The 21876-nt window shown below is 39.0% G+C and overlaps 1 protein-coding gene across 3 annotated transcripts in view; it reads right to left on the bottom strand.

The window, feature by feature from the left end:
* TRIM24 (tripartite motif containing 24) overlaps window positions 1-21876 on the bottom strand; it is a 129738-nt gene that overhangs the window by 66537 nt on the left and 41325 nt on the right. For all 3 annotated transcript variants that reach the window (NM_015905.3, NM_003852.4, XM_024446981.2), the window contains exons 2-4: window positions 19052-19170; window positions 8101-8248; window positions 4139-4271 (exon numbers count right to left, since the gene is read on the bottom strand). In NM_015905.3, the coding sequence (NP_056989.2) occupies window positions 4139-4271; window positions 8101-8248; window positions 19052-19170 (400 nt within the window). The remainder of the gene's footprint in view (window positions 1-4138; window positions 4272-8100; window positions 8249-19051; window positions 19171-21876) is intronic.

Here is a 21876-nt window from a genome sequence, read left to right as displayed (position 1 = left end):
TTGCCTTAACTATATGGTACATTCATCTGTGTCATTTGCATGTGTAATTTTCTTTGTGGGAAGGTTTTAAATTATGAATGAACATTAAAAGACTATTCTGACTTTCTATTGTATTTAGCAAAAGTTTTGTTAAAAAGCTTCATTCTCTAAGTTTTCCAATATCATGTAAAAATTTTCATTATTATTGACAGATATCCTTTTTATCTTTGAAAATGCATTTGAAATATGGAGTAATGCCACCTTCCTACTCCTGGTAGTGGTTATTTGGGCCTGCTCTCTCAATCACTCATACAGAGAATTGTTGATTATTTACTAGTCTTTTGAAAGACTGAATTTTTGGCTTTGACTATTTCTACACTTGTCTTTATTATGTTTCTTTTAAAACCCACTTACTTTGGGTTTAATTACCTACTTTCCCTAAACTGCAATAAATGTTTAGTGAATTGACTTTATCCTCAACATATAACATATGCATTTAATAATATAAATTGTCCTCCAAATATGGCTTCAGTTATTAAAAAGAAAAACCTCAAGGCTTGATTGACTGATGTTTTTCACTATCATTCAGATGAAAATGTTTTCTACCATCTACTGGAATTTCTTCTTGATGATTTGAATGTATTAAACTGTTTATTTTAAAACAATTTCAAAGTTAAATTTGCAAGTATATAGAGATCATATATCTCCTTATACAGATTAATCAATTTTTAGTTTGCCTCCTCATAGCCCTTCAACCCCTTAATAATTCAGTGTGCATTTCCTAAAAAAAAGGATTTTCTTATGTGCCCATAGTACAGTTAAAAAAAAAATGACTTTGTTTACAGTACTTTAAACTATAGACCATGTTTCTTAATTATATCATTTGTCTCAATAATGTCTTCTAAATAATTTTTTCCTTTAATCTAGAATTCCAGGATTGTGTATCAGTAGACTTTAGTTATCACAAGAATTTCATTTCCAAATATATGGTATTTTTCAATATTTTCAAATTTAAGACTTTAGCATATGGTCAGTTAAAAATATTTTATTGTAAGAATGTATATTTTGGGGTACAGTGTTCCACAATGTCCATAAGACGTTATGTTAATTGTGGTATTCAATCTTATTTATCTTTTTTTTTTTTGAGATGGAGTTTTGCTGTTGTCGCCTCGGCCAGGGTGCAATGGTGCCATCTCAGCTCACTGCAACCTCCACCTCCTGGGTTCGAGTGATTCTCCTGCCTAAGCCTCCCGAGTAGCTGGGATTACAGGTGTGAGCCACTGCACCTGGCCCTTATTTCTCTATCTTTACTGATTTTTTAGTCTGCTTGTTTTGTTATTTATTTATTTACTTACTTACTTATTTTTTAGAGATAGGTCTTGCTATGCTGCCCAGGCTGAACTCAAACTCCTGGGCTTCAGCCATCCTCCCACCTGTGATTTCTCAGTTTCCCGAGTAGCTAGGTAGCTAGCACTTACAGGCACCTGCCACACTGCTCGGCTTCAATTATTGCATAAAGTGGTAAGATTTTCCACTGTGACTATGGAGTTTTCTATTAGTTTGAAATTCTGTCATTTTTTTGTAAGTTTATAACCTGTATAAATTTACAACTCATATCTTTCAGATGAAGAGAGACTTTCATCCTTACAAAGTGTCCCTCTTTACCTCAAATAATGGATTTTGTCTACTATACCATCTTGCCTTTGGTTAATATTTATATGGTGTGTCTTTTCCCATTAAGTATTTTATACATTGAGTTTTTAGATATTTCTCATAAAAAGAAAATAGCACATTTTTCTATTTTCCTTCTTATCCAGTCCGAAACCTGTCTTGTAATTTGGAACATTTTGTCTGTTCACACTTAGTATAATTATAGTATATTTGTAGATCTACCAACTTACCAAGGTCTCATTATATTCCATCTGTTCTTTATTTCTTTTTCTCATTTTTTTGGCCTTTGTTTATACTGATTAACTATTCCACATCCCCACAACTCTCCACACCTTGGTAATTATATGTACTTATTATTCTTTTAGTGACTACTCTAGACATTACAAGAACAGATTTTTACATATCATCTAATATTGGTACTTTTCACCCTCTTCCTAGACTATGCATGGACCTTAGAACATAAATTCCATACCCTTTTAGTACATTTGCTGCTATGTGATATACATATACGCACACCACATCAACAAGATATTATTGTTTCCTAAGTCAACATTCATTTAGATTTACTCATACCTATTGCTCCATTTTCCTTTCTGTATCTCCTATTATTTTTCTTCTACTAAGAGGTACTTTAAATGAGAGTTTAGCAGGGATATGCTCTCCCAGTTTATTTTGCCTGAAACGTTTTTCAACCACCTTCATATTTAAAGAATATGCTTACCAGGTACAGAATTTTAGATTTGAAAGTTACTTTCTTTTTGCACTTTAAAAATATTACTTTCTTAATTATCCTGCTAGAGGTTTGTGCAACTTCTTAAATATGGGCTGAATGCCTTTCGTCAGCTTCTGAAAGTTCTCAGCCATTACATTCTGTCTTCGAGTATTGCTTCCTTCCCATTCTCTGTACTTTCCATCCTTCTTGGACTGCAATTACATCCACATTAGATGTTTAATCTCTTCTACTTTTCATCCTCCTCTTGCTGATGATGCTTCTTTCTGGATATTTTCTTAATTTTCTTCTAGCTCATTAATTCTCGTTTCATGCTAGGCCAAATCTGTTCTTAAGCCCTTCTACTGAGTTAATTTCAGTTACTGTAATTTTTAGGGTTTTCTTTCTTTCTTTTTTAAAGACAGGGTCTCATTCTGTCACTTAGGCTGGAGTGCAGTGGCACTATCACTGCACCCTTGAACTCCTGGGCTCAAGCAATCCTCCCACCTCAGTCTCCCAAGTAGCTAGGAATACAAGCACACACCACTTTGCCCAGCTAATTTTTTGTGGGGATGGGGTCTCACTATGTTCGCATTGTCTAATCTCCTAACAAACCTGGTTATTTCTAATTCTGTGAATACTGTTTTTGCAAAATTCATTATTGAATAAGTTGGAGGCCTAGATGTTTTCTTTTTCTTTCTAGCAAGGATTTACATTTGATTCTACAAGGAAACTTGAGGAGCCAGCGATATGATTTCACTTTAATCCAATTTTAGTTGCTGAGCTTTAGTCCCTGTGAGGAACAACTTACTAGCTAATTTATCTTTACTATAATAGTGCAGACTTTCAGGGTCCCAACTCAAGACAAGGAGACACATTCACCATGCATGATCCTTGCACTCTAAGCTGTGATTTCTCAGCCCTGTGAGCCTATCAAAATTACTCCTCAATCTCTGGGCAAATACCTCAAGGGGAGAAAAAGGCCCCCACCATTCTTAGCCCCAACTCCAACCCAATCCTGTCCAATAATGCTTTACTATTTGCTCTAGCATTTCATATAGACAATTTCTGTATTTTGTGCAGGTTTTCTAGTCATTCTCACTGTTGATCCAAATTATCTAGTCTGCCATTATCGGGAGCCTAGACCATCATAAGCAATTATATTTGTATCAATCCGAATCTTACTGTCTAAATCATCTGTTGCTGACCTTTGAATGACTGTTGAGATCAGATTTAAAAGTGAGCTTTGCTAGGAACTATAATGAACTGGAAAAGGCATGCCTCAAATGTTGACATGAAGTATACAGACCCAGGGCTAGAACAGCTTCCGTTTTCTCAAAAAAGCCAGAAATCTAGATATTTAAAAAATGTAAAATCTCCCCATTTTACAATGCTGGCAACTAGTTCTATATATTTTAAAACAGTGTGTTGGCCAGTGTTCTCAACTCAGGATGATTTTGCTCCATAGGACGTTGCCAATGTCTGGAGCCACATTTTGTTGTCACAACTGGGGAGGGTTAGAGGGTTGCTACTGGTAACTAGTTGGTAGAGGTCAAGGATGCTGACCACCATATAATGCACAGATCAGTCCTCAACAATAAAGAATTACCTAGCCCAAAACATCAATAGTGTCAAAAGTGACAAACCCCAGTACAGGCCAGCATAGTGCTGGCCAAACAAAACCTATTTGCAGACTGCCATTTGATGAGGGTTGGCAGCAGTCCTTTAGTCCTCTAAAGCTGCATATGAATCTATATATATAACCAAAGATGCTGGTACCTATGCTCTTTATGTTCTAACAACTGACAGTCTCGACATGTCAGTTTGTCACATGTCTCACAGTACAGCTTCAGCTGCTCCTTTTTATGAAAAGGACAAAACACTGGTCGCTGGCTGGTGACACCAACTGCCTCTGCAGAAACAATGGGAGACAAAGAGAAGAAAATTAACATAATTGAATAGTAAATAATTATTAGATTGCTCATTTGAATTCACATCTATTGATATAAACACTACAGCTTCACCTATACTATACCATAACTTTCACTAAGAATTACAGATATTAAGATATCACATATTGTCAGCATTTCAGGAAAAAAAAAGTAAATAACCTTTTCATTTTCCAAGTAGAAATTAACATTAGTTCAGGAGTAAATGAAAGAACTAAGTGTGTAGTTAAAAATATGTTTTATTGCATTAAAAAGTCTTAAGACAGCCCTGGTAAATGAGTATGAACCACCTGGATGTCTTCTATCCCAAATATGGGAGGAGATTTTTTGAAAATGCAATTTGGAAAATCAAGCCTGGCACAGTGGCCCACGCTTGTAGTCACAGCTATTCAGGAAGCTGAGTTGAGAGGATCGCTTGCTTGAGCACCAAGAGTTTGAGTCCAGCCTGGGAACACTGTGAGACCTCACAGACAGAGACAGAGAGGCAGAGAAAGAGATGGAAAAAGAGGGAGGAAGAAAGAAAATATAATAAAAATGCCTAAAAGGAGTAGTCAAATAACCCACTTTTGTAAAAATCCTAACAGAGAATACCCATTAACACAGAAATAATAATGTTTTCATTATTACACTCTAGTTTTCCAGTGTGGGGATAAAACTGGAAAATGTTTATGTCATAATGTTAAGTGAAAAAATCAGAATATGAATAAATATGGTTAAATAGTAAACCGCAGTTATCTTACTAATAATTAAAGGCAAAATCCAAACATTTCAGAAATAATCTTACCTCCAGAGATAATTACTATTAATAACCTGGTGTGCACTCCTCTGGTTGTTTTTCTAAGTATGGAAGTACATATAGTATAGTGCAGTGTTACATTTTATAAAACAATAAATGGTAGTACATATATTGTCTTTTAAAGATTTTTTTTCTCACTTAACTCTACCTTAGATGACTTTCTGTATTAGTATATGTATCCATCTCATTCTTATTTATTAACTGTATAGTATTTCACGAAATAGATATACCACTATACCACCTGCTAAGGATATTTGAAAGTTTAATGCTGAAATAAACATATGAAAATTATAAATCATTTAAATGTTTCCATAAGGTAAATTCCTCGTGGTGGAATTGTTGAGTCAAAGGGTAATTCATACAGAAAAAAGCTAAATAATTGTGCCAATTTGTACTTCAACCAGTGTAGAGTGGCTATTAACTGTATTCACAGGGGGAACTCTCAAAATTTTTCACCTTTGACAATTTAATAAATGCGAGAGAGAAAGCAAGAGAGAAAGAGAGAAGACACATACTTTACTATCTTAGAATGCATTTCTTTAATAACTGAAATGAAACAATGCTCAGTAATCAGCCATTTGCATTTTTTTTTTATAATGCACAAATCAGTCCCCAACGATAAAGAATTATCTAGCTCAAAATGTCAATAGTGTCAAAATTGACAAACCAGTATGCTGGCCTATACCAGGCGTGGTGGCTCACATCTGTAATCCCAGCACTTTGGGAGCCCAAGGCGGGTGGATCACTTGAGGTCAGGAGTTCGAGACCAGCCTGGCCAACATGGTGAAACCCCGTCTCTACTAAAAATAGAAAAATTAGCCAGGCATGGTGGTACAGGGATTACATAATCCCAGCTACTTGGGAGGTTGAAGTAGGAGAATCGCTTGAACCCAGGAGGTGGCGCTTGCAGTGAGCTGAGATCGCACCACTGCACTCCAGTCTGGGTCATGGAGTGAGATTCTGTCTAAAAAAACAAAACAAAACAAAACAAAACACACACACACAAAAACCCTAAGGTAACCTGAGAGGAATTACAGATAAAATTAATGAACTAAAAAACTGATAATTAGATAAATACAAGAAATATTTCTGAAGATACAAATATATAAACATATAGAATTCAGAATGAAAATGAAAATAACCAGATAGAGAAAAATCAGCCAATATATCACAAGAATATTAAAAGCACAACACATCAAGATGAAATATGGAATTAACTCCAGCAACGCTAAGACGGTTTTTTTTTTTTTGGAGACAGGATCTCACACTGTCGCGCAGACGGAGTGTAATGGCAATTATCACAGGTCACTGCAGCTTCGAGCTCCCTGGTTCAAGTGGTCCTCCCACCATCTCACCTCCCAGGTTGTTGGGATTACAGGCATGTAACTATCACGCCCAGCTAATTTTTTTTTGTAGATAGGGTTTCACCATGTTGGCAAGGCTGGTCTAGAACTCCTGGGCTCAGGCAATCATCCCACTTCGGCCTCCCAAAGTGCTGGGATTACACCAAGTCTTTCACTAGTCTCAAAAAAAAAAAAAAAACAAAACGGTTTTGCTACATTTTGATACATGCTATTACATGGATGAATCCTTAAAATATTATGCTAAGTAAAATAAGTTAGATATCAAAGGACAAATACCATGTGATTCCACTTGCGTGAAGTATCTAGAATCAGCAAATTTATAGAGACAGAAAATAAAGGCTGGGTGCAGTGGTTCACGCTTGTAATCCCAGCAGTTTGGGAGGCCAAGGCTGGCGGATTACTTGAGGTCAGGAGTTCGAGACCAGCCTGGCCAACATGGTAAAACCCTGTGTCTACTAAAAATACAAAATTCAGCCACACATGGTGGCGCACACCTGTAATCCCAGTTACAGGCAGGAGAATAGCATGAACCCAGGTGGCAGAGGTTGCAGTGAGCTGAGATCGTGCCACTGCACTACGGCTAGCCTGGGTGACAAAGCAAGACTCACTCTCAACAAAAAGAAAATAGGTTAGAAGTTACTAGGAGCTAGGGGAAGAAAATTGGAGTTATTATTATTATTATTATTTTTTGAGACGGAGTCTCGCTCTGTCACACAGGCTGGAGTGCAGTGGTGCGATCTCGGCTCACCGCAAGCTCCGCCTCCCGGGTTCACGCCATTCTCCTGCCTCAGCCTCCCGAGTAGCTGGGACTACAGGTGCCCGCCACCACGCCCAGCTAATTTTTTTGTATGTTTTTAGTACAGACGGGGTTTCAACGTGTTAGCCAGGATGGTCTCGATCTCCTGATCTCATGATCCACCTGCCTCTGCCTCCCAAAGTGCTGGGATAACAGGCGTGAGCCACCGCGCCCGGCCAGAAAATTGGAGTTATTACTTAAAGGGTACAAAGATGCTGATTGGGGTGATAAAAAAGTTTTGAAAATAGTAGTGATGGTTGCACAATGTGTAAATGTAATAAATACCACTGAATTGTACATTTAGTAGTTAAAATGACAAATTTTATGTTGCATGTATTTTACCAAAATAAAAAACATATGAGTGAACTGTACATTAAAAACAAGACAATAATAATTACATAAAACTGGAAATAATAATTACATAAAAAAGCCTCTCTGGCTATCCACATATCAGACAAATATCATGATGCAGGTTTACAACAAGAATATCAAAAGGAAGAGTTATAAAATATTTAAGCCCACTCTTTGTTGTTATCTTAGAGATAAAAGAAAAATAAGAAAAAGCAATTTTTTTCTCCATTTGTTCTATATTCACACCAATTGAAGACATTTATAGAAGCAGGAGGACAGGCAGTATGAATGTAAAACAGGGTTCTACATCTATTCGTACTTTCCAAAATTTGTAAGTACTTAAATTTCGATAATATAAACCTCTTTTACTTAAAACAGTATATTTAATACTTATCAAAACAAATGTGTCAAAACAAGTCAATACAGGAAGGAAGAAAAGACGGGGAAAGATAGAAGGAAAAAAATGCAAAGATCTCATTTATTACCTGGAGATACTTCCTCTTTCTGTCTGACAGTGTGGTCTTTTGTGAACTTTACCCTCTGATGAGCTCTGATACACGTCTTGCAGAGCCATTCAACACACTCTACACAAAACCCATTGGCTTCTGCGTTGTCCTCACAGCTTGTACATACCTGACAAAAGAACCATGGCACGTAAATTTTTGAGAAAATGAAAAGGTGGTCCTATCTCGAGCTATGCGTACATGATACACCAATTGTACCAGGCTAAATCAGTTAGCCTCCTAATGGTGTTGGGAAATTTTAAACTGACCTTGTGTGTTACATTATACACATAAGAAATGAAAATACTGTGAAGAGACAAGAATATAAGTATATTTTCTCCTTAATTCAGCATCCCAAATATTTCAACTAGGTATTTCCCAAACATTATGCTAGGTGTGAGAACAGAACAGTCAGGAAAAGCAAACATGGTCGCTGCCCTTATGATAACTACAGTCTTGTACATAGTGCAGGTTAAAATCCCAGTTCCCTCACTTACTAGCTCAGTGGTCTTGGGCAGGTTACACAGAGTACTCATCTTTAATATGAGGGTAATAATACAGATATTACTGAGTAGTTGTGAAGATTAAATGTGCGGCAGATGTACATTATTAGAATAAGCACATCAATATATAATTACAAACTGAGAATTACCATAAAGGAAATCTATGGAAAGTTATAAGAGCATATGATGAAGAAATGGATCTCATTTTAGTGGGGTTGGAAGGCTGGGGAAAGCATGAGGAGGGATTACCCAGTGAAGGCTTTTACTTCTAGGAAGAGAGAACAGCATGTACAAAAAGTCCCAAGCAAGAAGAGCAGGCAGGTTCAAAGAACTGAACGAAGGTAAGTATGACTGAAGTGGTGCGATTCAGGGGAAGACTGGCAAAAGAAGCTAGGACAAGAGACAGGGGCCAGATTAAGCAGAGTCACAAGGCAATTTTGGTGTTTGTCCAAATAAGTCTATTAAAAGCTTTTAAGAAAGTGACACGGCCAGATTTGCATTTTTATGTCACAATGGCTACAATGTAGAGAACAAATTAGAAAAGGAGCAAGTGTTTCTGTATAATGACAAGCTAGGATTTTTCAGTGGCTTTGGTGAGGGTTGCTGGAAGTGGGATGTGGAGATGAGAACAGGTTTGACAGTAAAATTTTTTTCCACTTCACTCAGCAGTTGACACTAACCAAATTCCAAATACCTGATATGTCCATAAACCAAAATCTACCTTTTCTCTGCTCTTATCATCTTCAATCTTTCTAACATCACTTGATACCAGTGACTTCTGCTTCCTAGAAATCATGTGAATTCCTTAATACCTGCCAATCCTCCTATCTCACCTGATTGTCACTGTGGATCCCACCCTTCCTCCTCTGATTCTGTAGTTTTTGATTATAGGGATTGATCTCATCTACTTCCTTAGCCTCACACAGCATCTCTAAAAGGATGTAATCTAGAATGTAATCTCCACAGTAAGCTATAAAAAGAAATAAGTAATTTCTATTTACACCACTCAGGAGAGATTGTTAGTACATAAAATGAAATAAAACAGGAAAAGTGTGTGTGTGTAATGCTACTGCTTATTCAAGAAAGATGGTAATATGGTTTGGATCTGTGTGCCTGCCCAAATCTCATGCTGAACTGTAATCCCCAATGTTGGAGGTGGGGCCTGCTGGGAGGTAGGTGTATCATGGGGGTGATTTCCCCCTTGGTGCTGTTCTCATGATAGTGACTGAGTTCTCACGAGATCTAGTTGTTTAAGTGTGTGGCGCCTCCCCCCTCTCTTTTTGCCCCTGCTCCAGCCATGTGGATGAGCCTGCTCTTTTCACCTTCTGCCATGATCGTAAGCTGAGCAGATGCCAGGATCATGCTTCCTGTACAGCCTGAAGAACCATGGGCCAATTAAACCTCTTTTCTTTATAAGTTACCCAGTCTCAGATATTTCTTTATAGCAATGTGAGACCAGACTGATAACAGAAAATCGGTACTGAGGAGTGGGGCACTGCTCTAAAGATACCTTAAAATGTGGAAGCAGCTTTGCAACTGGGTAATGGGCAGAATTTCAAACAGTTTGGAGGGCACACAAGAAGGCAGGAAGGTGAGAAAAATTTTGGAACTTCCTAGAGATTTGTTAAATTGTTGGGACCAAAATGCTGATAGTAATATGACAATGAAGTCCAGGCTGAGGAGGTCACAGATGGAAATAAACTTATTGGGAAATGGAGCAACGGTCACCTTTGTTACACCTTGGCAAAGAGCTTGGTTGGACTGTGCCCCTGGCTTTAGGGATCTGTGGAACTCTGAATCTGAGAGATTATTTAGAGTATCTGGTTTCTAAGCAGCAGTGTTCAAGATGTGATCTGGCTGCTTCTAACAACCTATGCTCCTATGTATGAGCAAATAAGTGACCTGAAGTTGGAACTTAGATATTTCAAAGGGAAGCAGAGCATAAAAGTTTGGAAAGTTTGCAGCCTGGCCATGTGGTAGGAAAGAAAAGCCCATTTTCAAGGGAGGAATTCAAGCAGGCTGCAGAAACTGGGGGTAGGGGGAAGGCCTTGAAGGCATTTCAGAGACATTCTGAGGAGCCACTGTTGTCACAGGCCCAGAGGCCTAGAAGGACTGAATGGTTTTACAGGCCAGGCCAGGCTCAGGGGCTCACTCCCCTGAGAAGCCTCAGGACACTGCTCCCTGTGTCCCAGCCTCTCCAGTTCCAGCCATGGCTCAAAGAGGCCCAAATACAGCTCAGGCCACTGCTTCACAGGGTGCAAGGCATAAGCCTTGGCAGCTTCCATGTGCTGTTAAACCTGCAGATACACAGAATGCATGAGGTGAGATTTGGGAGCCTCTCTCTGCCTGGATTTCAGAAGATTTATGGAAAGGCCTGGATGTCCAAGCAGAAGCCTGCTGCAGGGGCAGAGCCTTCACGGAGAACCTCTACTCGCGCAGTACAGAGGAGAAATGTGGGGCTGGAGCACCCACACAGAGTCACCACTGGGGCCCTCCCAAGTGAGCTGTGAGAAGAAAGCCACTGTCCTCCAGAACCCAGGATGGTAGACCCACCAGCAGCTTGCACCTTTAGTCTGGAAAAGTCACAGATACTCAATGTCAACCCATGAGAGCAACCTATGAGAGCAGCTGTGGGGGCTGAACCCTGCAAAGCCACAGGGGTAGGTACAGCTGCCCAAGGCTTTGGGAGCCCACCCCTAGTACCAGTGTGTCCTGGATGACAGATGTGAAGTCAAAGGGGATTATTTTGGAGCTTTAAGATTTAATGACTGCACTGCTGGGTTTTGGACTTGCACAAGGCCTGCAGCCCCCTTCTTTTGGCCGATTTCTCCATTTTGGAATGGGAGTATTTACCCAATGCCTGTACCTACATTGTATCTTGGAAGTAACATGTTTTTGACTTTACAGGCTCATAGGGAGAAGAGACTTGTCTTGTCCTTCTCATCTCAAATATAAGACTTAGGACTTTTTGAGAGTTAATGCTGAAATGGTTAAGACTCTGGGGGACTGTTGGGAGGCATGATTGTGTTTTGAAAGTGAGAAGGACATTACATTTGGGAGGGGCTGGGGTGGAATGATATGGTTTGGATCTGTGTCCCTGACCAAATTTCATGTAGAATTGTAATCCCCAATGCTGGAGGTGGGACCTGATGGGAGGTGACTGGATCATGGGGGTGGATATCCTCCTTGGTGCTGTTCTCATGGTAGTGAGTTCACATGGAGATGTGTTCATTTAAAAGTGTGTGGCATGGCCAGGCGCAGTGGCTCACGCATATAATCCCAGCACTTTGGGAGGCTGAGGCGGGTGGATTACCTGAGGTCAGGAGTTCGAGACCAGCTTGGCTAACATGGTGAAATCCCGTTTCTACTAAAAATACAACAAATTAGCTGCACATCTGTAATCCCAGCTGCTCGGGAGGCTGAGGCAGGAGAATCGCTTGAACCTGGGAGGCAGAGGTTGCAGTGAGCCAAGACTGGCCATTGCACTCCTGCTTGGGCAACAAGAGTAAAACTCCATCTCAAAAAAAAAAAAAAGAAAGAAAGAAAAAAGTGTGTGGCACCTCCCACCCTCTTTTGGCTCCTGCTCCGGCCACATGTAAGACAAGCCTGCTGCCCCTTCACCTTCCACCATGATTGTAAGTTTCCTGAGGCCTCCCCAGAAGCTGAGCAGATGCCAGCATCAGGCTTCCTGTACAGCCAGTGAAACCGTGAGCCAATTAAACCTCTTTTCTTTATAAATTACCCAGTCTCAGGTATTTCTTTATAGCAATGCAAAAACAGAGTGATACAGATGGGATGGAGTGGGATGATTTATTTTTAAATTGTACATTAACATAATATTTAAAAAGGAAGGATAATCCATAAAGGACATTAAATAGTTACCTATGAGGTTGGGAAGAAATAAGGTAGATGGGTAGACAAGACAGGGATAGAAGTTTATAGATTTTATTTTCAAACAACATGAATGTTTTACATGTAGTTATACAATATTTTAAAAATTTAAATTCCTAAATGTCAAAAGCAAAATTTAATAAATGAACCTGCCTAATCAAGTGGGTGACTTAACTGCACAGAGAAGATTTATTTGTTTCAGGTAACTTTAAAACATGATTTGATTGGCTGGGCACAGTGGCTCACATCTGTAATCTTAGCACTTTGGGAGGCCAAGGCAGGTGGTATGCCTGAGCTCAGGAGTTCGAGACCAGCCTGGGCAACATGGTGAAACCCTGTCTCTACTAAAATACAAAAAATTAGCCAGATGTGGCAGTATGCGCCTGTAGTCCCAGCTACTCTGGAGGCTGAGGCAGAAGAATTGCTTGAACCCGGGAGGTGGAGGTTGCAGTGAGCCAAGATCGCGCCACTGCATTCCAGCCTGGGCAACAGAGTGAGACTCCTTCTCTTTAAAAACAAACAAACAAACAAACAAACAAAAAAAACCACACACACACATGATTTGATTGAATATCTCCAGTGCATACATATAACTGCTGTCTTTCTTGCTTTCTGTTTTGATACAAACATTCTACAACTTCTATTTTCAGCTCCAACTCCACTCTAGTATAAACTCTTATTCTGCAAGCAACATTTATGCTTTACAAGCTGGTTTCACATTCGAGTCTAACAACGGGTAGTGCTGGAAGGAGAATGCAATGTCAGAAGAAGGCACTTGATTCTCATAGTCGGCTTCCTCTTTTCTTCCTACCTGCATGTAACTTCTGTGAGCATCACACTAGTGATGCTGCTTCATCCCAGGTGCAGCAGTTCCTTCCTACAATGGAGCTAGCTCTAGTTTGCAGTTTTTCCAATATCTGTAGAACCAGCTTTACTGTAATTCACTTCAGAGATGCCAGCACCACTACTTCTGCCCGTCAGAAGCCTGAGTCCCAAGCCAAACACCCAGACCCCATCACCAGCCAAGATGCACTTCCTTCTCAGGTGTTTAAGTTCCACGAGGCCCTTCCTCTGAGCTTTTATCTTTTAATAATTCCATCCTTTTGCATTTGTTCCCTCAGCTGCTTCTCAAAGTTGCTACCTCTGTGATACTTTAAGAATTGTATTTGTATCTTTTCAGAAAATCTTATATCTAGTCTATAATTCTTTTTTTCTTTTCTTTTTCCTTTTTTTTTTTTTTTTTTTTGAGACAGAGTCTCACTCTGTCATCCAGGCTAGAGTGCTGTGGTGCAATCTTGGCTCACTGCAACACCCACTCTGGGTTCAAGCAATTTTCCTGCCTCACCCTCCCAAGTAGCTGGGATTACATGCAGGTGCCACCATGCCCAGCTAATTTTTTTGTATTTTTAGTAGAGACGGGCTTTCACCATATTGGTCAGGCTGGTCTCAAACTCCTAATCTTGTGATCCGCCTGCCTCGGCCTCACAAAGTATTGGGATTACAGGCATAAGCCACCATGCCTGGCCTTATAATTCTTAATTTTAAGAATTAAAATGATTCCTAATTGCACCAAGACTGTATTATATATTACGCATATAAATTATGCATATAATATATTATATATATATTATACATATATATAAACTTTTTTTTCCTAGAGAAAACAAATTACATCAATGCAATTAAGAACCAACATTTCGGCTGGGTGCAGTGGCTCACACTTGTAATCCCAGCACTTCGGGAGGCTGAGGAGGGTGGATAACTTGAGGTTAGGAGTTTGAGATCAGCCTGGCCAACATGGAGAAACCCCGCTCTGCTAAAAATACAAAAAATTAGCTGGGTGTGGTGGCACAAGCCTGTAGTCCCAGCTACTCGGGAGGCTGAGGCAGGAAAATCGCTTGAACCTGGGAGGAGGAGGTTGCAGTGGGCGGAGATCACGCCACTGCACTCCAGCCTGGGCAACAGAGTGAGACTCTGTCTCTAAATAAATAAATAAAGTCTCTGTTAGATCATTCCCTGAAAGGCCTAGATAGGTGACCAACTCAATGATGATGAGCACCCACCGTACCATACTGTGGTCTCCAAATATTATTTCCCATGAAAAGGAATCAAGGCACCTAGGAGAAATGGCTGCTTCAAGGTCTAGAACAGAAAAAACAGCAAGGGAGACAGCAATGACTATTGCAGACTCAAACAGAGTGACACACACACACACACACACACACACGCACACACACACGCACACACGCGCGCGCACACACACACACACACACACACACACACACTCCTCTTATTAGTCACCTCTGAAGAATCCTAAGAAATTAACTTACTGCTCTAAAAATTGGCAACTAAAGGGAAGGAATCAAAATTGAACTGACCTTTCCTGGATGCACTATAGCTTAGGGTAATCAAAGAATTGATGAAGGAAGCTTTCTCTTTCTATTCCAGTTAAGAAATAAAGAGGAATAATAGAATAAAAATGTCACTATTTTTCAAAGCCCTAATGAAATACAGGATCTTGGCAGTGATCATTAATGGCCATTAACATCAGAAAAAAAGAAAGACAACCAGACACCATATGCTTCCTGATGAGCATACACATGGACATATGGATCAAAATATTCTTACCCTTCTCCCACAACGGAACCAGAACCTAAACAAGCCACTACATTTTTATTCAGTTTCACAAGATATATAATCAGCACGTTAAATGACTTTATGGAAATTATCAGCAAAATTCAGAATAAAGCTAACTCTATTGAATATGCAACTCAGTTTATGCAACAAAAACATTAAATAGGAAGAAAAGGAAAGCAAGTGAAGCAAAGGGGTAACTTGAGATTAATTAGGTTTGAGACAAATCAACCAAATGTACTGTGTAGGCCTTGTTGGATCCTTATAGAAACAAACCATTGTTTAAAAAAACCTATAATATTCAGATCCATTTGATTACTGCTTAGATATTTGATAATAATGAGATCATTAAGCATTTAAAAAAAAATTTTTTTTTTTTTGAGATAGGGTCTCACTCTGTCACCCAGGCTGGGGTGCAGTGGCATGATTATGGCTCACTGCAGCCTCCATCTTCTTGAGCACAGGTGATCCTGCAACCTCAGCCTCCCAACTAGCTGGGACTACAGGTGCACACCACCACACCCAGCTTGCTTGCTTTTCTTTCTTGTTCATTCATTCATTTATTCGCTCAGACAGGGTTTCACCATGTTGCCCAGGCTGGTCCTTTTATTTTTACATAGAAATTCATATGGTAGTTATGTTTACAGAAAAAATATTTTACTGAAGTACATACCAAAATATTTACAGATGAGGCCGGATGCAGTGGCTTATGCCTGTAATCCCAGCACTTTGGGAGGCTGAGGTGGGTGGACCACCTGAGGTCAGGAGTTTGCAACCAGTCTGGCGAACATGGTGAAACCTTGTCTCTGTATCAAAAATTAGCCAGGCGTGATGGTGGGCACCTGTAATCCCAGCTACTTGGGAGACTGAGGTTGCAGTGAGCCAAGACCTCACCATTGCACTCCAGCCTGGGCAACAAGAGCAAAACTCCATCTCAAAAAAAAAAAAAAAAAATTACAGATGAAATCATATAATGGCTGGAATAAACATCAATGTAATCTAGTGGTTGGTGGTGTAGTATCAGAGTATGCACAAAACAAGAGTTGATGGCTATTGATCTAGGCGATGGGTCCATGGGCGTTTGTTATGTCAACTGTTTCTTTAGTAATGCTTGAAATTATCTACAACAAAAAGTTTTTAAAACTTTTCAAAATCTCCAGCTATGAACTCTCTTTAGAGCACCACTCTAACCATGGATGACACCTCTACTTTACAGTCTCACAGGCAATGCAAACTCAATCCCATTCAAAACCAATTTATTATCTCTACCTAACTCCCACCCACTTTATCATGATGTCTGTGAAAGGCACCATCCAGGCAGTAAAACATCTCTCACCTTCCACACCCAATCAGGCATATCAAGTTCTCTCTGGGTGGTAACTTCCTTTCCTTATTGCTACCACGCTAATTCAGCTCCCACTACCTCTTGCTAAGTACTGCCTGGTTCAAATTCATCCCCCATATGACATCTCCAGTCTCCATCCTCACCAAATGCCCCCAGCAGCACCCTATTCTCATACCACATTTCCTACCCTAACCCATGCATGCCCAGTATCAACATTTAGGATGTCTAAATGTTGGACTCCATCTCTAGTTTAACTTCTTCCTACTATGTTTCTGTGACAGAAGCAGACTAAATAAACATAAACGTACTGAAAACTAATTGATCATACGGAGGTATAAAGCAGCCTCTTAAACTTGTCCTTTGGATTAGAATCCCTTTAACTCTCATGTCCTATTATCATCATTTTATGTCATAGGAATATCCCATCTGATTGACATTTATTTATGCTACTTTACATTTGAAGATTACTTATGCTACTGTATTTTTTAGTTTTCTGGATTGAGCATACACAGATACTACTATGAATATGACTAATGAATATCTAGAATAGCTATAATCACATGTAAAGCAAAGTGACATGATGCAATGGAAGACAGAAACAAAATCATTTGTATTTAGAAGAGAACTTTCAGAGGACTTAAGTGCTCAACACTGTAGCCTACATAAATATGTTTCTTTCTTTAAGGGTGGTTTCACAATTAAACAATTAGAAAGTTTATCTCCCACAGCAAGCGTGTCTGTTTTGGCCTTTGACAAGGTTCACATCAGGAAGAATTGTGGATACTTTCCAAACTACAAAAACAGGTATTTTAGTCAGTAGTAGCTATGTTCATTTAAAGTGAACCTTAAATTCCTGTAGTTCTACCAAGGAACAAAAAACTAAAAATTCAACAAAAAGTACAGAAATTAACCATGTGATTACTAGAGTCCTGAAAAACATAGCTAACAACTGCTTTTCCCTAACCAGATTTAGTTCTTTCCCAGATCTTCTGTTCCAAGTTAAGGGAACTGTTAGAGGAATCATCAATGAATCAAGATCCAAAAGTAGACTAACACACTATACTTAGCACAAACTGTAGAATTAATCTCAACATGGCTAACCCCCACTGGAGTACTATAGATTATGCATGATAGATTTGACATCTAGATTTAAGAAGCCAAAAGAGATGTTCTACATGTGGGTTATAGAAATTAGAAACAAACGAAAAACACCATTGGATCTCTAAATCCAACACCTTGGACAATGCTGCCAAGTAAGCCTTTAGTTAGTTGGGCATGGTGGCATAAAGCTGTAGTCCCAGTGACTCAGGAGGCTATGGTGGGAGAATCACTTGAGCCCAGGAGTTGGAGACTGCAGTGAGCTACGACTACATCACTGAACTCCAGACTGGGCAACAGAGTGAGACCCTGTCTCAACAACAACAACAACAACAACAACAACAACAACAACAACAACAACCACCACCCCCAAAAAACAAATGAAGCTTTCAAAGTAAGACCATGCAGAAAAGAAGGCTTTCTTAAAAATGTAAAAACCTTACTGATCAAAGACATGGTGTCTTTCACATGTATCATTATAGAGCTTATCATTAAAATAGAAAAAAAGTGAAAAACTGAGCTTGAAATAAAAATCTCATTGTCAATACACAGTAAAAGTACAAAGAAATGAAGTAATGTCAAATATAGAATAATGGTTTCTCTGGAGGAGACTGGAATGTGGGTATGCAATCAAGAGCTTCTGGACTGTCACTGTTTCACTGTTTTATTTCTTAAGGTGAATTATTCATTATTCTTTATATTCTTTTAAAATGTTATATAACTTTATAGATCAATTAACTAATGTTTGGCTCCTTTTATTTTAGAGATCTCCAGCATTTTAGGTTGCCTCATCAATAGTTGGCAAAAAGAGGCCAGGCACGGTGGCTCACGCCTATAATCCCAACACTTTGAGAGGCCGAGGCGGGTGGATTACTCAAGGTCAGGAGTTCGAGACCAGCCTGGCCAACATGGTGAAATGCCATGTCTACTAAAAATACAAAAATTAGCTGGGCATAGTGGCACACACCTGTAATCCCAGCTACTCATGAGGCTGAGATGAGAGAAGCACTCAAACCCAGGAGGAGGAGATGGAAGTGAGCCAAGATCGCACCACTGTACTCCAGCCTGGGCAACAACGCAAGACTCCATCTCAATTAAAAAAAAAAAAAGAGGCCAGGTGCGGTGGCTCACGCCTGTAATCCCAGCACTTTGGGAGGCTGAGATGGGCGGATCAAGAGGTCAGGAGATTGAGACCATCCTAGCTAACATGGTGAAACCCCGTCTCTACTAAAAATACAAAAAACTAGCCGGGCATGGTGACACGCCTGTGGTCCCAGCTACTCGGGAGGCTGAGGCAGGAGAATGGTGTGAACCTGTGGGGAGGAGCTTGCAGTGAACGGAGATTGCGCCACTTGTGAACTCCTGCCTGGGCAACAGAATGAATGAGACTCTGTCTCAAAAAAAAAAAAAAAAAAAAAAAAAAGAGCTGGCAGGCAAAAGGTTCAAGATGTAATACACTTACCTGATTTGACTTTTCTACTGTACTGCTGGGAACCTCAGTAGTGTCCTTCACAAAAAAGTTATCTATGATGTGTCTCTCTGCACATTCTTGGCTGCAAACTGGGCAACGAATGACTCCAACTGGGAAAAACAAAATTATATTCTAAGTTTTAATACAAATATACTGAGTACTTAACCAATACATCTCAAACTGTGACTTTGTTCTTTTTCAATGTCCATTCTTTTTAAATTCATACCTGCTGTCACTTAAAAACAATTGTCTATGTAAATATACTAATTTTATCTATACATCACACATGAAATATTAAATGATAAATAAATTTTTCATAATTTTAAATGAAATGCCTCCCTTCCCCCACATCATCATGGGCTAAATGCTTTTACTGTTTAGCAACTTCTCTAGCAGTGGTTTTCCAACAGAAACGTACAGAACCATATGGGAGATTTTCAAAAGAACAAGGAGCTCAGGTTTTCTCTAGATCTGCAAAATTAGGATTTCTGGAAGTAGAACACAGACATGCTCCTTTTGTTTAAAATCTCCACAGAGTGTAAAACACCATTTCCTTTTAACAAATGCAAATAGTATTCCTTTGAACAAAAAAGAATGGTCTTTCGTAGTGCTTGGTAAAAACAATAAATAAAAATAACAAACAAGTTAAAACTCTAATATAAATGACCAGTTAACGGGTGCAGCACACCAACATGGCACATGTATACATATGTAACAAACCTGCACGTTGTGCACATGTACCCTAAAACTTAAAGTATTAAAAAAAAAAAAAAACTCTAATATAAACTTGATGCCATATAATTTAAACTATGGAAGACTGCAATAAGGTTCCCAGATATATTTTTTAATGAAATGCATAAGAACAAATACAAAGTAATCCAAAGGCCAATTTCATATGTATAAACAAACAACAAACAAACATTTAATGAAAAAAAAATTTTTTTACAATAGCAACAAAAATATATTAAGTACTTAGAAATAAATTTTAAAAGATTGTGAAGGTCATTGTGCAGGAAAATATTAAGCTATATTTTAAAATATTTTAAAATATCTAAATCATGAAGAAAGCATGTTCATGATGGTAAAGATACCAATGCTCCCACAAACATATCTATAGATTCAAAGCACCTCTATTAACAATCCCAACAGAAATTTCCATAGAATTTTCACAAGCTGAGGGGACACGCCTCCCAACTAATAAAACCTACTATAAAGCTGTAACAATTAAAATGGTGTGATTTTTTTAAGGCTTACATAAATGCACACTTTATATATATCAGATGTTCACTAGAAATCAGTGGGAAAAGGGATGAACTTTTCATGTTGCTGCAACAACTATTGGGGGTGGGGAATGAAATTAGATCCCTACTTCATCTGATCTAAAAAAAAAACTACTTTAAGTAGATTAACAACTATAAAACTTTCACAAGAAAATGTAAGAGAATATCTTTGTGATCTTGGAATACAAATTTATTGGAATAAATTTTTAAGCAAGAAACAAAAAGCAAGAGCTATAAGGGAAAGATTAATATATTCACCTTTGTTACAGAACTACAGCTAGTGAAAATATTACCATGAACAAAATGAGAAGACAAGCCTCAAGATGGAAGATCTATCTAAACACACAGTACTGGCAAAGAATTAATACTTAAAATCTGGAAAGATGTCACAATGCATTTCAGAGAAGATGGAGTAAACGTAATTTTCATTATGCCTCCAGCTTCACACAGCTAAGAACTCTAGACATTCTTTATAAAACATTAAGTGTTACCCCCAATTTACAGATGAGGAAACTGGGTGCTACGACTGGCCCGTGGTCACATAACCACTAATGACATGTCATGTGCACACTCTACAATGTAAGTATTTAAATGGAGATATAGCATGGACTTTAAAACTGTTCAAGACCTAGATTAGCCCTCTTCATTGATTGCTCTGTAACTCCTAATCAATCTTTTTGAGCCTCTTTTTCATCTTCTATAAAAGAGTAATACATGATAATCATCATGATACTTAACCTATTGAGAACTTGCTGTGTTCTAGTTAGTGTGCTCAATATTCCACTTCCATTAGAACAACTCTGAGGCAGGATTGTTGTAACAATTTCACATGAGTAAATGCACAGAACAGGTCTAGCCTAGGCTGGTACCTGGTAAACCTGGGCAGTAAGCCCTGTACCGTCCAGCTAAAATCAGATGACAATAGCTGGCTCTTTCTGAATCAGGTAGATGAGGACCAGCACAATCTCATCTATATTGACTCCCTCAAAGTATGACCTCTAAGGCTACAAATAAATTCTGAGTCATGGATATACCTCTACCTAATAAGGAACAAATTGAAACCAAATGTTAGTAAATCCTAAATTTACATCTCTACCAGAACTTCATTCCCAAGCCCCAGATGTACCTTTTTTTTCAGTACTAGAAAAACAAAGCACTACATATTACACAGTAAATACAATCATGAGCTGCATGACGGTTTTTTGTTGTTGTTGCTACTGGTTTTTTTTTTTGAGACGGAGTCTTGCCCTGTCTCCCAGGCTGGAGTGTAGTGACATGATCTCAGCTCACTGCAACCTCTGCCTCCCTGGTTCAAGTGATTCTCCTGCCTCAGCCTCCCAAGTAGCTGGGACTACAGGCAACGTGCCACCACAGCCGGCTAATTTTTTGTATTTTTAGTAGAGATGGGTTTTCAACATGTTAGCCAGGATGGTCTTGATCTCCTGACCTCGTGATCTGTCCACCTCAGCCTCCCAAAGTGCTGGGATTACAGGCGTGACCCACCACGCCTGGCCACTGCCTAACATTTTTTTAGCC

The sequence above is a fragment of the Homo sapiens genome, chromosome 7 (assembly GCF_000001405.40).
Source record: "Homo sapiens chromosome 7, GRCh38.p14 Primary Assembly".
Classification (NCBI taxonomy): domain Eukaryota; kingdom Metazoa; phylum Chordata; class Mammalia; order Primates; family Hominidae; genus Homo; species Homo sapiens.
This window is presented reverse-complemented; position numbering and strand designations above follow the sequence as displayed.